This window comes from Homo sapiens, chromosome 17, assembly GCF_000001405.40.
Source record: "Homo sapiens chromosome 17, GRCh38.p14 Primary Assembly".
Taxonomy (NCBI): domain Eukaryota; kingdom Metazoa; phylum Chordata; class Mammalia; order Primates; family Hominidae; genus Homo; species Homo sapiens.
Genome location: NC_000017.11, coordinates 30,725,373 through 30,746,662, shown reverse-complemented (window position 1 = coordinate 30,746,662; position 21,290 = coordinate 30,725,373). Strand labels below are relative to the sequence as shown.

General features: G+C 44.8%; 1 pseudogene across 4 annotated transcripts in view, besides 2 other annotated features; it reads right to left on the bottom strand.

Moving 5' to 3' along the window:
• Positions 1-21,290, bottom strand: part of SUZ12P1 (SUZ12 pseudogene 1) — an 83,223-nt pseudogene that overhangs the window by 46,168 nt on the left and 15,765 nt on the right. For 2 of the 4 annotated variants that reach the window (NR_144394.1, NR_144393.1), the window contains exon 2: positions 3,294-3,362. The product of NR_144394.1 is annotated as an SUZ12 pseudogene 1, transcript variant 3 (transcript). Of the gene's footprint in view, positions 1-3,293; positions 3,363-11,565; positions 11,631-11,719; positions 11,767-21,290 lie in introns of all 4 variants that reach the window. The other 2 variants (NR_144395.1, NR_024187.2) reach the window with 2 other exon arrangements.
• Positions 14,444-15,064: an enhancer, noted in NCBI's record as "NANOG-H3K27ac-H3K4me1 hESC enhancer chr17:29058617-29059237 (GRCh37/hg19 assembly coordinates)". NCBI's record gives its function as "activates a minimal SCP1, AML or CMV promoter by ChIP-STARR-seq in primed H9 embryonic stem cells {active_cell/tissue: H9 hESC(primed)}" and the evidence as "EXISTENCE:reporter gene assay evidence [ECO:0000049][PMID:30033119]".
• Positions 14,677-14,746: a silencer, noted in NCBI's record as "silent region_8400". NCBI's record gives its function as "represses an Ori minimal core promoter by ATAC-STARR-seq in GM12878 lymphoblastoid cells {active_cell/tissue: GM12878}" and the evidence as "EXISTENCE:reporter gene assay evidence [ECO:0000049][PMID:35858748]".

Here is a 21,290-nt window from a genome sequence, read left to right as displayed (position 1 = left end):
CGGTGAAACCCCGTCTCTATTAAAAATACAAAAAATTAGCCGGGCGAGGTGGCGGGCGCCTGTAGTCCCAGCTACTCAGGAGGCTGAGGCAGGAGAATGGCGTGAACCCCAGGGGGCAGAGCCTGCAGTGAGCCGAGATCACGTCACTGCACTCCAGCCTGGGTGACAGAGCGAGACTCCATCTCAAAAAAGAAAAAAAAAAAAAAGAATATAAATGGAGGAGAGATACTTTTGTGTATGATTTAAGATATTAACTTCTACTAACTAATGTTATGGAACAACAAAGATTTATCATCTTTTTTCTTTTTTTGAGACAGAGTCACATCTTGCCCAGGCTGGAGTGCAGCAGCACAATCTTAGCTCATTGCAACCTCTGCCTCCCGGGTTCAAGGGATTCTCCTGCCTCAGTCACCCAAGTAGCTGGAATTACAGGTGTACACCACCTCGCCTGGCTGATTTTTGTGTTTTTTGTAGAGAAAGGGTTTTCCCCTGTTGGCCAGGGCAGTCTCAAATTCCTAGCCTCAAGTGATCCACCCACCTCAGCCACCAAAATGCTGGGATTATAGGTGTGAGCCACTATGCCCGGCCTGTGTTATCTTTTAAGAATTTAACAATAGATTTTAGAAGCAAATATTTATACTGCTGGCATCACATACTGGTGTTTAGGGTCCTTCTTACAACCCTGTGTGATAGGTTTAGGAGAAAAATAAGATTACCTTAATTTGAAATAAGAAATAGATTAAAGGAGGCTGGGCGCAGTGGCTCACGCCTGTAATTCCAGCACTTTGGGAGGCTGAGGTGGGCAGATTACCTGAGGTCAGGAGTTCAAGAAAAAATTAGCTGGGTGTGATGGCGGGCACCTGTAATCCCTGCTACTTGGGAGGCTGAGGCAGGAGAATGCGGGAGGCAGAGGTTGCAGTGAGCAGAGATCACGCCATTGCACTCCAGCCTGCACAACAAGAGCAAACCTCCGTTTCAAAATAAATAAGTAAATAAATAAATACAAAAATTGGCCAGGCTTGGTGGCTCACACCTGTAATCCCAGCACTTCGGGAGGCCAAGGCAGGCGGATCACTTGAGGTCAGAAGTTCAAGACCAGCCTGGCCAACATGGTGAAACTCTGTTTCTACTAAAAACTCAAAATTAGCTGGGTGTGGTGGTGCACGTCTGTATTCCCAGCTCTTCAGGAGGCTGAGACAGGTGAATCGCTTGAGCCCGGGAGGTGGAGGCTATAGAGCCAAGATCGCACCACTGCACTCCAGCCTCAGCAAGAGGGAGACTCGGTCGCCAAAAAAAAAAAAAAAAAAAAAAAAGGCTGGGTGTGATGGCAGGCGCCTGTAATCCTAGGTAATTGGGAGGCTGAGGCAGGATAATTGCTTGAATCCAGGAGGTGGCAGTTGCAGTGAGCTGAGATAGCACCACTGCATGACTCCATCTCAAAAAAAAAAGAAATAGATTAAAGAAAGTTAATAATGTAGGGTCTTAGCAGTAAACTTAAAATGACACACTTTCTTAATTCATCTTAGTGCTTCTGGGAGCAATACTGAGACATTCATAAGAATCTTGAGAGGCTTAAATGGCCAACTCACTGGTCCTAGCTAGACCCTAAAGACTCAAAAAATTCTCTTCCAAAACTACCAGCAGGAATTTATGTAACCCTCTGATTTTAATCTTTGAGTTGCTATTGAACCACTGGGTCAAAAGGAACAAAATTACTGGGGAAACAATTGTTCAGAGAGAATTGAACAGTATGTATCTCCCACACACTCTTACTTAGGGAAGCTCTGTAATTTCAAACCCAATGTCACAATGAGATAGTAATAGGGTTTAGTAGTGAAGGTAAACCTTGATGAGGAAGATGAAGAGAAGGGTCCAGTGTTCTTGTTGTTGGTTCATGCTTCCTTCTCACTTGAACCCTGAAATGACTATAGGGCAAACTTTTAATGTGGTCAGGAGAAAAGAAGCAGGGAGGTCAGACCAGGATCTTACTACAGTCTGTATTTTAAGTAAAAAAGGCCCTGAGGATCCCAAGAGCTCTGTCTAGGGTGGGAGACCAGACAAGAATCTGGAATACAAATTCTAGTAAAGAAAAATGTGTGTGCACTGCGAATATTCTCAGTTCTATCTTATAGGGTCCTCCCTGGGCATTAACAGATGTACCAGGTAACAATTCAGGATCTCAGCTTCTAGAATGGACTATCACAGTTTATTTACAAGTCAGGACTGCCTAGACATGGAAATATAAATTATACTTCAACCCCACAAGATTGCAGGATATAAAATAAAAAATATCATTTTACAATCCAAGTAAAAAAATCACTTAATTCCAAAGCCAAACTTAAAGTAGAAGGAAGCCAAACTGAAAAAAAGGAAGTCTTTTACCAGTTAACAGAACAATGGGAAAACAATGAGATGCATAAATGATGCATCATTAAGTGTGTATCCTATCTAAATTCGTAAGCTGTGATTTAAAACTAGAAGGAAAAGAAAAATGCACTGTGACAAATTTTCCAACTCTATTTTTTTAAGAATCTAATATTTTTAGTTCTGCATTCTCTCTAAAGGTAGTTAATGAATGAACAAACACCACCCAAGCTGCTGTTTCTCCTTAGAATATTCAATTTTCTATCAAAAATATCAAAAAATAAAGTTTACATATCAAAAAATAAATAGAAGCATACTATCTAGAGTAGACAGATATCAGACTAGTCAGAACATTTAGGGATTCGTTCTAGGTATATATTTGCTAATGTACAATAAGTAGATTCTGTCCAAATGTTCAAGTTTCTGAAACTATGTGAGAAACATATTTCAAATATGAAATAAAAGTTATGAATATGTTGCCTGACAGATTTAAATGAGAAGAAAAAGATGGAAAAAAAGAGAACCCCTCTCATATTTGAGAATAACTTACAAGATACGTGATATTGTGAAGTCCCTGCCACAGTACCTAGCACATATACTATAAATGTGAGTATCCCTCTTTAAATGAGGTGGTAGAGTTAAGACCAACGGCAGAAGTCAGAGGTTTCACTCAAAATGGAAGAAACTGGTAATAAAGATAAAGAATAATAAATACAACTACACTGGAGGTATTCAAGCCACAGCTTAAGTATTCTCTGCCAGGAATGCTACAGAAATTAATTTCTGACTTGTGTGTGAGTTTGGACCAAACTGACCTCTAAGATTCCTTCTAACTCCTTATATCAAGGTGATCACTAGGAAAATGATCACTGTAATTTTTCCTCTTTCCTAAAGTATATCACTTAATGTAAACTGATAGGTTATCTTACCTATGAGATTCTTGCTCTCCTTTCATTTTCTCTACTTTTGATAACATATCATCAACTTTAAATGTTTTCCTGGAAGAAACAGATAAACAAAATAATCACTTCTCAACTGGATAAAAGAAACAAATTATACTTTATTGTCACTCTAATAGGCAAGATGGAAATCAGATTTTGATTATTTTTAGTAAGATAAACTATGGATGATTAGCCATAACAATGAATACTATGGAGACGGTGTATAATACAGCACACAAGCCTTCAAGCCCCATCTAAAACGCTAACTTGTTTTCATTAAACCTTTTACCCAATTATTCCCAAACCAGTGATTTCTCCTTACCCATGGTACTTGGTTTATATTTATTTTGACACTTACTTTTCATTCAGTTTCCTACATGTAAAACTCATGTAAATATTTTATTTCTCCTACTAGATTATACACTCCTGAAGGGCAGTAATTGCTCTTCTTCAAGGAAAGCTATGCAGTGCTGGCATAGTGCCTTCTACTTGGTAGGTATTCAAGTATCTGTTGAATTAAGCCAAACAAATATAAATTATGTGTATTCTGAAACACTTAATACGTCTACTAAGCAACACAACAAATATGTACTAGCACCATCACATAAAAAAAGAAATATTCTATAAAATATATTTGAAGTTCATAAGGTATCCTCAAAGATTATCAGCAAAGCCTAAAGCTCAATGATATGTCATATTAAAGAGATGGTTGTTGACATCATGAAAAAATTTTGAAGTTAGGGAATGATCCATCAAATCGCAAAACTATTACCTTTTAACTCGACAAGTTTAAGAGAAAAAATCTATTTCCCAAAAAATTGAAAGTTAAGTATAACTTCTCAAAGCAATTAAAGAATGAATGGATTGTAAAACAAGCTTCATCTTAGTTCTTAAGGTGGTCTATGACATGTTCTAGAGATAGAGTCTAAAAATCTATACCCATATATAATTTAATTAGAAAAAATGTTTCTCTTTATACTCATATAGTCCCTTCCTCTTTAGGACTTGAAAAGCCAAATGTATTCCACATCAATTTGTTACTTTATAATGCTTGAATGCAGACACCAAAAATTACGAATAATCTCATTCGTCAAAAAGAGTTTTTTGTTTGTTTTTTTTGTTTGTTTTGTTTTGTTTTTGAGATGGGAGTGTCACTCTTGTTGCCCAGGCTGGAGTACAATGACGTGATCTCGGCTCACTGCAACCTCCACCTCCCGGGTTCAGACAATTCTCCTGCCTCAGCCTCCCGAGTAGCTGGGATTACAGGTGTGCACCACCATGCCCAGCTAATTTTTGCATTTTTAGTAGAGACAGGGTTTCACCATGTTGGTCAGGCTGGTCTTGAACTCCTGACCTCAGGTGATCTATCCACCCCTGTCTCCCAAAGTGCTAGGATTAAAGGTGTGAGCCACCATGCCTGGCCAAAAAAGAGCTATTTATTGTATTCAACTACTGTAAAAATTATCAGTAGAGAAATGTTAATGTAAATATATTATAGTAAACTACTGATATTAGAGCAGAATTGATGCAATCTATATTTCAAGTGAATGAGAAGAGCCTCCATAGCGAAGCTCTTAAGGGAAAAAAAGCTCTAACTTTAGAGTTACTGAAAACTTCAATATTAAAGTTTCATCCAAGAGTATAGTAAGAAGTGCTTTCTGAAGGATGGCTATATATTTTCAATCTCCACAGATAAGAGAGAAAAAAGAACAAAAATAAAGGACTCTTTTAGGCTAGTTGCAAAGAGCTATTCAGTATAAATACTGAAAGTTACTATTGGGGAGGGCCATGAAATTACTGAAAACTTTTCAGAATAACGTTTATGTAATGATTAAGAAATTCTGTCTGCAGAAAAAGATTGTATGTTCTAAGGTTCATCTCATCTACCTTTATGAAGCTGTATACAGGAGAAGTGAATGGAACTGAATATTAACCATTTGAAACAGATAAAATCACAAAAGCAACCCAGCCTTCCTTAGGAAAAAAACAAAACAAACCTCATAAGCAACTATATAAAAGCCGCTCCTCCCCCAACACCAAGGATTTCTGTTCTTTAGAAAGGTAATGTTACTGTAGGTCAGATTTAAAGAAGGATATAACTATCAAAAGGTCATCGAAAAGGAGCATATTTAAAAATTCAAGAAATTTCAGAAAATTTTCTTGGGAGACTTCAGAAACAGCTCACACGAAATCTAGCAAAATGGATTCAGTAAAAGATGCCCTTCTCGTGACCTATATTTTTACTTTGTTGGGGCAATGTTAGCCTATGGAAGTTGAATACTTCTAAAAAGAGTAAAGCACGAGCTGACTTTAATAAATATACCAGAATTAATATCACGACTGAGAGTATGACTTTAAAGGGAATGATATGCTTATTCCAACAATGGATATTATGTTGTTGTAATAGTAAAAAAGGAGTTCTGAAAACATTTTGAGAAAAGACGACAATCACTGGGCTAAATCTGCCACCTTCCAAAGTCACCAACTACGCTGAAGACAACAGCAAATGAGTTGTGCTTTAATTTCTTAATAATTAGTCCTAATAAGTAATAAGATCAGGCATCTAACAAGATGATTAAATGATTCCCATACTTTTTTTTTTTTTTTTTTTTGAGACATCGTCTCCCTCTACTGCCCAGGCTAGAGTGCACTGGCACATTCATAGCAATCTTCGAACTTCTGGGCTCAGGTGATCCTCCTGCCTCAGCCTCCTGAGTATTTGGGACTACAGTCATGAGCCACGACGCCCAGCTAATTTTTTTAATTTTTTGTAGATATAGGGTCTCGCTATGTTGCCAGTGCTGACCTGTAACTTTTGCCTTTAAATGTAAACTTGTTCACTTGATACGCTCAAATAAATATAATCTTGCACCTAGGACAAAAAACTTGCATTCATAATTACATATGGTTAAGTACTAAATGTTACACAAGCAATCCTCCCAACTCAGTCTCCCAAAATGCTGAAATTACAGGTCTGAAACACCATGCCTAGCCTATTCCTACCCATTTCTGTAGGAACTAAACTAGGTGGGACTTAAATTTGTTTCTTGGCTGGCAGATGGCTTAAAAATTCCCCAAAGACTTTTTTTTTTTTTAACCTAAAGGGCAATAATTAAGAAAATCAGTTTTTACTTAACCAAGCTTTTAAAATTATCTCTACCCATGCAGACAACAGAAACATATCTTGCAATGGGACAAATTAATAAACATGACGGGAAAATGGAACTTAGATTTTAAATGTGTACTTTTTAGCAGGACGTGGTGGTTCACACCTGTAATCCTAGCACTTTGGGATTCTGAGGTGGGCAGATCACCTGAGGTCGGGAGTTCGAGACCAGCCTGACCAACATGGAGAAACTCCATCTCTCCTAAAAATACAAAATTAGCCAGGCATGGTGGCGCATGCCTCTAATCCCAGTTACTCGGGAGGCTGAGGCAGGAGAATCACTTGAACCCAGGAGGTGGAAGTGGCAGTGAGCCAAGATTGCACCATTGCACTCCAGCCTGGGCAACAAGAGCGAAACTCCATCTCAAAAAATTATAATAATAATAAAATAAATGTGTACTTTTTAATCTATGAATGCAAACTTATTTTATAATAATTTAATTACTTTGTAAATTAAGATCAGGTTGCATCCTAGGCAGCAACTCAACTGACCTTCTATATTAAAAATGCTTTGATGGCCAGGGACGGTGGCTCACGACTGTAATCCCAGCACTTTGGGAGGCCAAGGCAGGCGGATCATGAGGTCAGGAGTTTGAGACCAGCCTGACCAACATGGTGAAACCCTGTCTCTACTAAAAATACAAAAATTAGCTGGGCGTAGTGCCACACGCCTGTAATCCCAGCTACTCAGGAGGCTGAGGCAGAATTGCTTGAACTTGGGAGGCGAAGATTGCAGTGAGCCGAAATTGCACCACGGCACTCCAGCCTAGACGACAGAGCAAGACTCTGTCTCAAAAAAAAAAAAAAAAAAAAGCTTTGATGAAACAAAACAGTTAGTCGAATTCTACTAGTTTTATAGAATAAATCAAGGGTGGGGAAAGTATGGACCATGGTCAAATCTGGCCTATCGCCTGTTTTTGTACAGCCTGGAAGGTAAGAATGGTTTTTACAGATAAACATTAGCAATTGATTTGATTATAGAAAACACTAACTCTGAACCCCAATTCAGCTAAGTGTTATCTCCCCTACCCTCACAAAAATAAAATTCTCATTTCTCATTAGTAGGCCTGTATTACAAAATGTTGTATCTTATATTGTTGTATTTTTATCAACAAAAAATTTACAGATTGACATTTTGGACTGAAATTTTAAAAAACTGTAAATTTTTTCTTTCTTTTAATATTAAGTACCTACATAATATCTTCAATTTTGCATCCTGGCCACAAAGCCTAAAATAATTACTATTTACTGGTCCTTTACAGAAAAAGCATGCTGAATGCTGCCAAAAATCAAATAATGGAGTAGACAGGTAAAGGGTGGACAAAACTAATTCTGTAACCTAATTCATCACCTCCTTTTTGGTTACTTAGGTGCTCAGCAATTTTCACCTATTAATTGCAATGCAAACTTGCTCATGCACGCTCTCTATTCAGAAAGATTGCCAAAAGACAAATAATTTTCACAATTCAATCCTTCAAAATACAAGTAGATTTACAAAACTCAACTATGTCTTGCTATAGAAATGTGATACCTACTTAATAAACAGTAGCAGTCCACCAAAGAGCTTAGTTTCAAACTCTATCGAGATAACTTGATGGTTTTACTAAAACTATAATGTCAATACCAAATGCTTAACACAATTCTCGCCTTTAAATGTAAACTTGTTCACCTGATACTCTCAAATAAATATAATCTTGCACCTAGGACAAAAAACTTGCATTGATAATTATGTATGGTTAAGTACTAAATGTTACACAGCAGAAATAAGCTGTCTTCCACCTCCAGACCCCACTTTAAAATCTAATGATTTAAGACTTCATTGTTTTTAAAAAACCTTCATCCTATTGATTTCAAAAAGCGTTTCCCCTTCAATAAGACCACCACCAAGGCCGGGTGCTGTGGCTCAGGTCTGTAATCCCAGCACTTCAGGAGGCCAAGGTGGGTGGATCACCTGAGGTCAGGAGTTCAAGACCAGCCAGCCAAAATGGTAAAACCCCAACTTCATGAAAAATACAAAAAATTAGCCAGGTGTGGTGGTGGGCACCTGTAATCTCAGCTACCTGGGAAGCTGAGACAGGATAATCCCTTGAACCCAGGAGGTGGAGGTTGCAGTGAGCCAAGATTGCGCCATTGCACTCCAGCCTGGGCAACAAGAGTGAAACTCTGTCTCAAAAAAAACCAAAAAAACAAAAAACAAAAAACCAAAGATATAAAATGAGACTTTCTGAACCCAGCATTACAGGAGCTAATTCAAATTACACATAATAATCAAAAGTTAACTTAAATTTTACATAACAAATATAGTTACCCTGAGCCCTTTAGTAAATATTTAAATCCTCAACTTCTATCAAACTTGAAAATAACCAGTGGAGGCCAGGCGCAGTGGCTCACGCCTGTCATCTCAGCACTTTGGGAGGCCAAGGCGGGAAGATCATGAAGTCAGGAGTTTGAGACCAGCTTGGCCAACATAGTGAAACCCCATCTCTACTAAAAATACAAAAAATTAGCTGGGTGTGGTGGCGGGAGCCTACAATTCCAGCTACTTGGGAGGCTGAGGCAGGAGAATTGCCTGAACCCGGGAAGCGGAGGTTGCAGTGAGCCGATATCGCACCACTGCACTCCAGCCTGGGAGACAAGAGCGAAACTCCATCTCAAAAAAAGAAAAAGAAGGCCAGGCTGGGCATGGTGGCTCACTCCTGTAATGCCAGCACTTTGGGAGGCCGAAGCAGGCGGATCCTGACGTCAGGAGATCGAGACCATCCTGGCTAACACAGAGAAATCCCATCTCTACCAAAAATACAAAAAATTAGCCGAGCATGGTGGCACGCGCCTATAGTCCAAGCTACTCGGGAGGCTGAAGCAGGAGAATCTCTTGAATCTGGGAGGCGGAGGTAGCAGTGAGCCGAGGTTGCGCCACTGCACTCCAGCCTGGGAGACAGAGCGAGACTCCCTTTCAAAAAAAAAAAAAAGCCAGGCACGCTCATGCCTGTAATCCTAGCACTTCAGAAGGCCGAGGCGGGTGGATCACCTGAGGTCAGGAGTTCGAGACCAGCCTGGTCAACATGGGGAAACCCTGTCTCTACTAAAAATACAAAACTTAGCCAGGTGTGGTGGCAGGCACCTGTAATCCCAGCTACTTGGGAAGCTGAGGCAGGAGAATTGTTTAAACCCAGGAGACAGAGGTCACAGTGAGCCGAGATTGCACCATTACACTCCAGCCTGGGGGACAAGAGTGAGACTTCTCTCAAGAAAACAAAAACAAAACAACAACAACAGTAAAAAAAAGAAAATGAGGCTGAGGCAGGAGAATGGCATGAACCCAGTAGGCGGAGCTTGCAGTGAGCCGAGATCGTGCCACTGCACTCCAACCTGGACAACAGAGACTCTGTCTCAAAAAAACAAACAAGCCCTCTCCCTCTCCCTCTCCCTCTCTTCTCCCCATGGTCTCCCTCTCCCTCTCTTTCCATGGTCTCCCTCTGATGCCGAGCCGAAGCTGGACTGTACTGCTGCCATCTCGGCTCACTGCAACCTCCCTGGCCTGATTCTCCTGCCTCAGCCTGCCGAGTGCCTGCGATTGCAGGCGTGCGCCGCCACGCCTCACTGGTTTTCGTATTTTTTTGGAGGAGACGGGGATTCACTGTGTTGGCTGGGCTGGTCTCCAGCTCCTAACCGCGAGTGATCCGCCAGCCTTGGCCTCCCGAGGTGCCAGGATTGCAGACGGAGTCTGGTTCACTCAGTGCTCAATGGTGCCCAGGCTGGAGTGCAGTGGTGTGATCTCAGCTCGCTACAACCTCCACCTCCCAGCCGCCTGCCTTGGCCTCCCAAAGTGCCCAGAGTGCAGAGGTGAGGGGCGCCTCCGTCCGGGAGGTGAGGGGCGCCTCTGCCCGGCCGCCCCTACTGGGAAGTGAGGAGCCCCTCTTCCCGGCCACCACCCCATCTGGGAGGTGTACCCAACAGCTCATTGAGAACGGGCCATGATGACAATGGCGGTTTTGTGGAATGGAAAGGGGGGAAAGGTGGGGAAAAGATTGAGAAATCGGATGGTTGCCGTGTCTGTGTAGAAAGAAGTAGACATGGGAGACTTTTCATTTTGTTCTGTACTAAGAAAAATTCTTCTGCCTTGGGATCCTGTAGATCTGTGACCTTACCCCCAACCCTGTGCTCTCTGAAACATGTGCTGTGTCCACTCAGGGTTAAATGGATTAAGGGCGGTGCAAGATGTGCTTTGTTGAACAGATGCTTGAGGGCAGCATGCTCGATAAGAGTCATCACCACTCCTTAATCTCAAGTACCCAGTGACACAGACACTGCGGAGGGCCACAGGGTCCTCTGCCTAGGAAAACCAGAGACCTTTGTTCACTTGTTTATCCGCTGACCTTCCCTCCACTATTGTCCTGTGACCCTGCCAAATCCCCCTCTGCGAGAAACACCCAAGAATGATCAATAAAAACAAAACAAAAAAAAAACCAAACAAACAAAAAGAGAAATAACCCATGGCACAGAGTAAAAATATAATCAGTAAAATCACTTTATTCACTTAACTACTAAAATCAGTTCTTTTTTTTTTTTTTCTTTGAGGTAGAGTCTCGCTCTGTTGCCCAGGCTGAAGTGCAACGGCGCAATCTCGGCTCACTGCAACCTCCACCTCCCGGGCTCAAGCAATTCTCCTGCCTCAGCCTCGCAAGTAACTGGGATTACAGGCACACACCACCACGCCCGGCTAATTTTTGTTTTAGGAGAGATAGGGTTTTGCCATGTTGGCCAAACTGGTCTCAAACTCCTGCCTTCAAGTGATCCGCCCAACTTGGCCTCCCAAAGTGCTGGGATTATAGGCATGAGCCACCACACCCAGCCTCATTTCTATTAGGGGAAAAAAAAAAAAAGCTAATAACAACCTGAGACTTACAAAGATTATACTATTGAAAACCACTGTGCAACCAATTCAACCAGTCACTCTCTCACTTCAGTTTTCATATTAAATCTTTAGTTAGAAATAGTACTTATTTTTGTTCTTTTTTTTAATTTTGAGAAATAGTACTTTAAAATAAAACTAACATGGTTTGATCAGCTTGAAATAAGATTCATAAAATGTACCTTTTGATGTTTGTTCTGGAGTTTCGATGAGACATGTAAGTAAGAGTTCTGTGCAAAAATATTGGCTACAAAAAGAGTTTTAAAAATGTTAAAATTGAATACAGATGCAGTTATAAGAGAGAAATAATATTGATGAATTTTGTTGACTACTTACTGCTATGAGATTCCGAGTTCAAAGAAATCTATAGATCTGTGTTGGCTCTAGGTAATAGGAAACAAAATCCAAACATGATCTAAACTTACTTGTCAGAAAAATATCAACCGAGACCATGTTATAATCAATATAAACTTGTCATCTGCTATGGAAATCACGCACTAAATATTTATATCGCACTAAATATTTACATCAAGAAAGTTAGTATGCACAGTAAGATCAAAAGGTATTCAATCAATGGCATACATTCACAAAGTTCATCTACGCTTTTTATACTGAAGGTTCTTTACAATATTTTTCTTAAGCCTTTCTAAGATAGTTATTGTTACCGAGCAGAACTCAAGAGAAGCAGTTGTACTCATTTAACTTAGCTTAATTTAAACTATTTATAACCGATTTTCTTCCAAAAAGCAGCTGTAATAGGTAGCTGGAGTCAACAAAAGAACTATTGATTGATGCCAAACAAGATGAAAATTTCACTTTTTAAATGGTCACTTAAAAAATTTGTAGTCAGCCGGCCAGGCGCGGTGGCTCACGCCTGTATTCCCAGCACTTTGGGAGGCTGAGGTGGGCAGATCACCTGAGGTCGGGAGTTCGAGACCGGCCTGACCAACATGGAGATACCCTGCCTCCACTAAAAATACAAAAATAGCCAGGCATAGTGGCGCATGCCTGTAATCCCAGCTACCTGGGAGGCTGAGGCAGGAGAATCACTTGAACCTGGGAGGCGGAGGTTGCCGTGAGCCGAGATCGCGTCATTGCACTGCAGCCTGGGCAACAAAGAGCAAAACTCCGTCTCAAAAAAAAAAAAAAAATTGTAGTCAGCCAAAACAGAATCCTAATACATCCTAATACAGATATGATGACATCCTAATACAGATCCAGACATTCCTAATACAGGTATGATGAAAGTCAGTCAAGATTTTTTTTTTCTTTTTTTGAAAAGGGGTCTTGATATGTTGCCCAGGCTGGTCTCAAACTCGTGGGCTCAACAGATCCTCCTGCCTCAGCCTCCAGAGTAGCTAGGATTACAGGTGGGATCCACTGCACTCAAAAGTCAGTCAATGTTGAAATAAATCTCGGACACAAACTGCAGAAAAAATTCTCAATAAATATTCCTAATTATAATTTAAAGTTTTATCTATTTTGTTCAATATAAATATTACCTCAATACATTTTTTACACAATTGACAGATTCACAAAACCGTCTAACGCTTAAAATGAGTTGAATTAAATTTCAAATTAGTTAAAATGTAATTTGTTATACAGGACTTAAGTGGATGAAAAATACATATACTATTATATTAGTTACATTAATGACCTATTAGTATCACGTTGTCATTATACAGCAGTATCAGAATAAACCAAATAGAAATAACTGTGAATAATTACATTCAAGTATTTAAACTTTCCAGTAAACAACTTCAAGTTGTTTTATGACCAGATCTAGCTCTTAATGACACTTGACTTCCCTGAGGTCGACTCATCAGAACGCAAATAGTTAAAACTTTCTTGGAGAATGTGTCTTCTCTTAACATTCAGAAAGAACTTTTAAAATTTCCACCTAAATCTTCAATTGGTTAGTTTTATCTTAAATTAACTAAAGGGAGATGAGATACTTTAGAAGGGGTACAAACAAGTATCATTATTGTCACCACTGCCCTTCAGTTCTCCATCCTATTTCCAATTAAAGCCTCTCTAGATATTTCAAAGTATATTAAGAAATATGTGAATAATGTGAATCTCTCTGAAGCAAGGTCAATATTCGTTTCGATAAAAACTGAAACTCCTTCTATTAAGTTCCAATTAGAATTTCATGAAGCACTAATGAGAGAGAATGAAGGAAGGGTATTAAACAACATAATACGGTCTTTCTAAGCACAGCTGATACCATGCCCTTAATATATGCCACAGTGAAACTGTAAATAAGGACACTGGGCGGTAGAGCCAAGTTTATTCAAGTTTCTGTAAGATTACTTAGCTATTAAAGATCACCCAAATTATAACACACAAAAGCAAAAAAGGAAACCAATCAGGATATAACATTCCTTAAAGAACAATCAGGATTATTCATAGTCACGATGTTTTTAATAAATTCTATTGTTTATTTCCAGACACCTTGCTCTCCTTTCCAAATAAGTCAGTTTCACCTACCAGACAGACCTTAGAAACAGAAATTGACCCAAGAAAATGTCCTGTAAGCCGAGTAGAAAAAGCAGAATTCTGGGGTCGTCTCCAGAGAAGATGCTTGACCACTCTCTGGCTCAGTTTACATATCCACAAAATGGGTGGATAGATTTGAAGGGTTTTAAGCATCCAAAGGTGCCATAGGAACCTGCAGCACCAAGTTAGCGCGAAGGCATTTCAGACTAAGGACACTTTCTTCGGTTCCACTGCACTCATCCCTTCACAGGCTTCATTTTGCCCCTCAAAAGCTACAACCGAAACCCCTGTATTTCTAGAGTCCGAAAGGCATGAAAGAAAACAAGAACCAGTCTCGGGATGTGACTGCGGCTCAGTTCAACTGCTACCTCCTCATCTAAAAGCCGCCTGCTCTGAACGTGGGGCCCCAGTCCCGAGCCTCTTGCGTCAATCTTGGGGGAGTCAAGAACCCGCCCGGACCCTCTTTTCCAGCTCTCCCAAGGCCCTGGACTCCGGATCCCCTGGAGACGTAATCTCCGAAAGGGGGACATCCCCTCAATTCCTCCCTCCACTACCACACAAGTGGACTCCCGAGGAGGAAGGGGGCCCAGCAGAGTGTCCCATCCCCGGTGTTGGCAGAGTGGGTCTTCCTGCCCTCAAAGCCTCGCACGCACTCACTCTCAAAGGCCTGGAGGAAAAGCTCGTGGTCAGCCTGGACGTGCTCCATTTTCGACTTCTTCACCGGTAACGCCGCGGAGGAGGAGGAGGCCGAGTAACTGCCACCGCCTCCACAGCCCCCGCCGCCGGATTTGCCGCTCGAAGCCGTCGCCGCCGAACCCCCGAAGCCGCCTCCCCCGGACCCCGCGCTGGGCCCCGAGCCGCCCCCTCCCCCACCGCCGTGCTTCTGAGGCGCCATCGCGGTTCCTGCCTCCTTCCCCGGCCAGCTACTCGCCGGGCGGCCCCGGAGAGTAAGCGCCTGCAATACCAACCGCTCGCCCCAGCAGGCTCCGGCTGACCGAGGGGAGAAGGAGGAGAGAGGGGAGGAAAGGGGAAGGGAAGGCAGGAGGAGAGGAGGGAAGGAGGGAGGAAGAAAAAGTGTCTCCTCAGAGCCCCGCTCCGCTTCGGAGGCCGCTCACCCTACCCAGGCCTCGCTCCGCCCACTTCCCCCGCCCGGCGCTCTGATTGGCCGGCGGGAGCGCGCACCGCCGGGCCGCCCAGCCCGTTGGCCCGCGGATTCCCCCGTCAGTCACGCGGAGGCGCTTCTCGCGGAGGCGCGGCTTGGTTGGCCGGTGCGCGCTGCCGATCGCGGGCCCGGCCGCCTCTTTGAACTGAATTCGCGGGAAAATTAGGGGTCGGAGCGGCCTTCCTGCTGGCCCCGGTGCATTGTGGGGAGAGAAGGACCCAGCGAGCGGTTTAGAGAGTCTAGATCCTTAGTTTTTTGCCCCCAAACACCGTAAGAGCGGTCAGAGAGGTAAACTGGTTGAGAAGTACTTACATACACTCTTCTCTTCTTGAGGATCTATACCTTTTCAGCTCAGAAAGCTGAGAAGGAATCCGGTGTTTTGCGAGCCTTGCTTTTTTTTTTTTTTTTTTTTTTTTTTGAGACGGAGCCTCCCTCTGTCGCCCAGGCTGGAGTGCCAGTGGCGCGATTTCGTCTCCCTACAACCTGCGCCTCCCGGGTTCAAGCGATTCTCCTGCCTCAGCCTCCAGAGTAGCTGGGATTACAGGCGCTCGCCACCACGCCTGGCTAATTTTTTTGTGTTTTTATTAGAGACAGGGTTTCACCATGTTGGCCAGGCTGGTCTCGATCTCCTGACCTCGTGATCCGCCTGCCTCGGCTTCCCAAAGTGCTGGGATTACAGGCGTGAGCCACTGTGCTGGCCAGAAACACACATTCTCTGAGGCGGGCCCTCCAGCATGGGAACCCCTGCTCTGTCACATCCAGCTGTCATCCCAGCCTGTCCCATCTCAGGCTGTCCTGGGCTCTCAGTACCATCATTGAGCCAGCACTTTCAAATCTCTTATGTCCAGCCTGGAATTTCTCATCAGAGCCCCCATTACCATTTCCCTGCTGAAAACCAAAACCCTTGTAATTGGCCCAGTTAGCTCCCTGACCCCATGTCTGCTCCAGCCACTCCTGCTATTCCTGGACCACAGCAGGCCTTGCCCCAGGGCCTTTGCACCTGTCGCTTCCTCCACCTGTAGCTTCTGCCAACCCACTGTCCACATGGCCGGCTCCTTCAGGCCATTGCTCAGATGGAACTATTCACCTGGTGTATAGAATGTCCTCTTCATGGGGCAGGGATCATTGAACTGTTTTGCTCATGGTGGCCGCATCCCCAAATTTTACTTTTTTTTTTTAGAGATAGGGTCTTGCTCTGTCACTCAGGCTGGAGTGCAGTGGTGAAATCATGGCTCACTGCAGCCTCCACCTCCCAGGCTCAAGCGATCCTCCCGCCTCGGCCTCCCTAGTAGCTGAGACCACAGGTATGCGCCATCACGTCCAGCTAATTTATTTTATTTTGCAAAGATGAGGTCTTGCTATGTTGCCCAGGCTGAACATGAACTTCTGGCCTCAAGAGATCCTCCTGCCTCAACATCCCAAAGTGCTGGGATTACTGCTTGAGGCCATCACCATTGTTGTCTTCATATCCTCAACTTTTAGAATAGGCCTGGCACGCGGCACTGAATTATTTGTTGAATGAATCTCAGATCCCAAAGCTGAGACTCTGCCTTGATTCCTCACCTTCCCTGTCATCCCCCTCACAGAAGCCATCAGCAAGTCCTGTGGGCTCTGCCTCTCAAGTATCTCGCGACCTGCCCACTTCTGGCTCTAAGCACAGCACCCAGGCCCATGCCGCCATCCTATGTCACCTGTATGTTGTCCTGGCCTCCTTGCCCGCCTCCCAATCCGCCCTTCACTCAGAGCTAAGGGACCACATAATGATGTTGATCCGAACATTAACTGACCCCCTGGTCTCTGCTGGGGTCTCATTTCCTCACTAGAGCCCAGAGGCTGTGGGTGAACTGGTGCCACCAAGCTCTCCAAGCCCCATTCTGTCCTCCCTCCTGTTCCTGAAACATTCAACATTCCAGTTCCAGCCCCCAAGCAGGATCCCTGCATGTTGGCTGCGGCTGCTCATTGTTCAGGGCTCAGCCGCAAGGTCACCGCAGCAGAGTGACCTACCCTGGCCCCCTGCAAACAAAACAGTCCTCGCCTGCTGCCCTCACCCGCCATCTTTTCCCTGTTTTTAATTCACAGCTCTCAAGTGAGCACCTGAAATTACCTTTTTATCAACACGAGCTTCTTGAGAGAGGCCCTTAGAAATCAGCACACGGCTGGGCACAGTGGCTCATGCCTGTAATCCCAGCACTTTGGGAAGCCGAGGCGGGTGGATCACCAGAGGTCAGGAGTTCGAGACCACCCTGGCCAACATGGTGAAACCCCGTCTCTACTAAAAATACCAAAAAATTAGCCGGGCGTGGTGGCAGATACCTGTAATCCCAGCTACTCGGGAGGCTGAGGCACAAGAATTGGTTGAACCCGAGAGGTAGAGGTTGCAGTGAGGCTAGATTGTGCCATTGCACTCCAGTCCGGGCAACAGAGCCAGACTGTCTCAAAAATAAATAAATAAAATAAAACAAATAGGCACAGGCCCTCAATAAATAAAGATCCCCACAGGGCAGGACACCTGGTCCAGACCTCAGTCTCCTCACATGGGAAATGGGAGGATAATATCTGCAAGACAGCCCTGAACACCCCCTCTCCAGCCCTGTAGCTCTCTGCCCGCTTCCCCTCTCATGCCCACTCCTGATACCAGCTCCCTCTCCACTGCCCCAGCTTCTTCACTAAATCCCCCGCAGCCACCTCCAGCCCCCATCCGCATCTCCCCCCACATCCCTGACTAGACACGGCTGGTGTCACTTTCAGATCATTTTACAGCGTGTTACTCCCCCAGCCGCCACCAGCCCCCGTCCGCATCTCCCCCCACATCTGTGACTAGACATGGCTGGTGTCACTTTCAGATCATTTTCCAGCATGTTACTTTGGGGATGGGGAGTGGCTTCCTTATTTCAACTTCCTCATTTCTCCAACTGTCCAGCCACAGAAAGGTTCAGTGGAGGCAGTGTCCCCAAGCTGAGGAGTACTCCCCTCCCAGGGTCTCCAAGCGCTTTCTTTCACACTGCAACAGGCATCCTAGCAGAGGAACTGGTTAGGGGAAGTAAAAATGGCTGGATTTGTACGGTGACTCATGCCTGTGATCCCAGTGCTTTGGGAGGCTAAGGTGGGTGGATCACTTCAGCCCAGGAGTTCAAGGCTGCAGTGAGCTATGATCGTGCCACTGCACTCCAGCCTGGGCAACATGTCTCTAGAAATTTGTTTTTTTTTTTGAGACGGAGTCTCACTCTGTCACCAGGCTAGAGTGCAGTGGCACGATCTCGGCTGACTGCAACCTCCGCCTCCTGGGTTCAAGCGATCCTCCTGCCTCAGCCTCCTGAGTAGCTGGGACTACAGGCATGCGCCACCACGCCCAGCTATTTTTTGTATTTTTAGTAGAGACGGGGTTTCACCGTGTTGGCCAGGATGGTCTCGATCTCTTGACCTCGTGATCAGCCCACCTGGGCCTCTCAAAGTGCTGGGATTACAGGCGTGAGCCACAGCGCCCGGCCAAATTTTTTGTTTTTTAATTTGGCGTGGTGGTGCCCAGCTACTTGGGAGGCTGAGGCAAGAGGATCACTTGAGCCCAGGAGTTTGCAAGGCTGCAGTAAGCTATGATCCTGCCACTGCACTCCAGTCTGGGCAACAGAGCAAGACCCTCTCTTAATTAAAAAAAAAAAAAAAGGGCAGGGAAGCCACCCGATGCCAAGTTGTGTGGGCAGCGAATCCACATGGGTCTAGATCCCAATTTTGCCTTATACGTGCCCTGTGTGACCTTGAGCTGGTCTCCTCACCTCCCTGGCCCTGGTTCCCTCTGCGCTGCTATTCTGCAGGGTTCTGGTAAGGAGAGCAGTGCACGTACACGCTGGGCCAACACAGGCCCCATCAGAGGGTGCCATGCACAGCCTGGCGCCAGTCAGGGCACAAAGACACCCACGGAAGAGGCAGTCCCTCTCTTCCTCCCAGGCTGCACCCTAGAATGCTGAGACTCCAGAGTGGAGCCCCCGCTGAGCCATGTATACTTCCACCAGGAACTCCAAGGCATCTTCAGCCCAACCAGACCAATACAAGCCCCTACATCAGTGCACGGTGCCACCATCCTTCCAGGCCCTCCAGCCAGAACCCCAGGAGCTGAAAGCCTTGACTCCTCTTTCTCTCACCCCTAAATCCAGTTCAAGAGTAAGTCTTTGGGCTGTGTATACTTCCAGAACACCCCAGTGTTGGTCCACACATCTGTCTTCAGCATCTGCCCCTCTAGTCCTGGGCCCTGGCCACTCCCCAAGTGCCCTCTGGCCCCTTTGCCTCCGATGTCCAGGCTCTCCTGGCAGCCAGAGGCACCACCTCCTTTTTTTTTTTTTTTTTGAGACGGAGTCTCACTTTGTCACCGGGGCTGGAGTGCAGTGGCACAATCTTGGCTCACTGCAACTTCCACCTCTGGGGTTCAAGCGATTCTCCTGCCTCAGCCTCCTGAGTAGCTGGGATTATAGGCGCCCACCACCATGAGTAGACACGGGGTTTCACCATGTTGGCCAGGCTCGTCTGGAACTCCTGACCTCAAGTGATCCACCCGCCTCGGCCTCCCAACGTGTTGGGATTACAGGCATGAGCCACTGTGTCCAGCCTCCAAAACTTTTTTATCACCCCAAATAGAAACTCCATACCCACTGAACAATAACGCCCACTCCCCTCGTCGCCCAGCCCTGGTAACTTATAGTCTACTTTCTGTCTCCATGGATTTACCTATTCTAGACATTTCATACAAATGGAATCACAGGCTATGTGGCCTCCCCCGCCCCACCAGTTAGATGGGGGTCTCACTCTGTTGCCCAGGCTGGAGTGCCGTGGCCCAATCTCGGCTCACTGTAACCTCCACCTCCCAGGCTCAAGTGATCCTCCCGTCTCAGCCTCCTGAGTAGCTGGGACTATAGTCACATGACCCCTCTAAATTAACTCCTGGCTAATTTTTGTATTTTTTGTAGAGGCAGGATTTCGTCATGTTGCCTAGGCTGGCCTCAAACTCCTGGACTCAAGTGATCTGCCCATCTTGGCCTCGTAAAGTGCTGGGATTACAGGTGTGAGCCACCATTCCTGGCCTTATTTTGTGTCCAGCTTCTCACTCAGCGCCACGTTTCCAAGGCTCACCTACGTTATAGCCTGGATCCGGGCTTCATTCCGTTTTATGGCTGCGTAGTATTCCACTGCATGGGTGGACCATGTTTTCTTTATCCAGTCATCGGTAATGGACATGTGGGCTGTTGCACAGAAGGGTCCTTTTTATTTTCTCCCTAGCTTTACTGAGGCATCACTGACAAATAGAAATTACATATATTTAAGGTTACATGATATTTTGATATCCATTATGTGTTGTGAAATGATTACTACAACCAAGCTAACTAACAACATATCCAACACCTCACCTAGATACCTTTCTGGTGTGTGTGGTGAGAACACTTGAGTCTAATTCCTCAGCAAGTTTCAAGAAAACAGTATGCTATAATAATAATATTATTATTTTGAGACGGAGTCTCGCTCTGTCACCCAGGCTGGAGTGCAGTGGCACAATCTTGGCTCACTGCAACTTCTCCCTCCCAGTTCAAGCAATTCTCGTGCCTCAGCCTCCCAAGTGGCCGGGGCTACAGGTGGGCACCACCGTGCCTGGTTAATTTTTGTATTTTTAGTAGAGATGGGGTCTCATGTTGCCCAGACTGGTCTCAAACTTTTGAGCTCAAGCAATCTGCCTGCCTCGGCCTCCCAAAGTGCTGCGATTATAGGTATGAGCCACCACACCTGGCCTGCTATTATTAATTATAGTCACCATGCTGTACCTTAGGTCTCTGGAAGTTTTTTTTTTTTAGAGATGAGGTCTTGCTCTGTTGCCCAGGCTGGAGTGCAGTGGCACCATCATAGCTCACTGCAGTCTCGAACTCCTGGGCTCAAGAGTTCACCCTCTTGAGCCTTCCGTGTAGCTGGGATTACAGGCGTGTGCCACCATGCTTGGCTGATTTTAAATGTTTTTGTGGAGACAGGGTCTTGCTATGTTGTTCAGGCTGGCCTTGCACTCCTGGCATCAAGCAATGCTCCCGCCTTGGCCTCCCAAAGTGCTGGGATTACAGGCCCAAGCCATTCTGCCTGGTTAAAACGTTTATCTGAAAGCTGAAAGCTTGTACCCTTTGACCTGCATCTCCCGCCTTCCCCTGTGCCCTCACCCCCATAACCACTGCTCTACTCTGCTTCTACGAGTTCAATTCTTTTTTAGATTCCACAGATAAG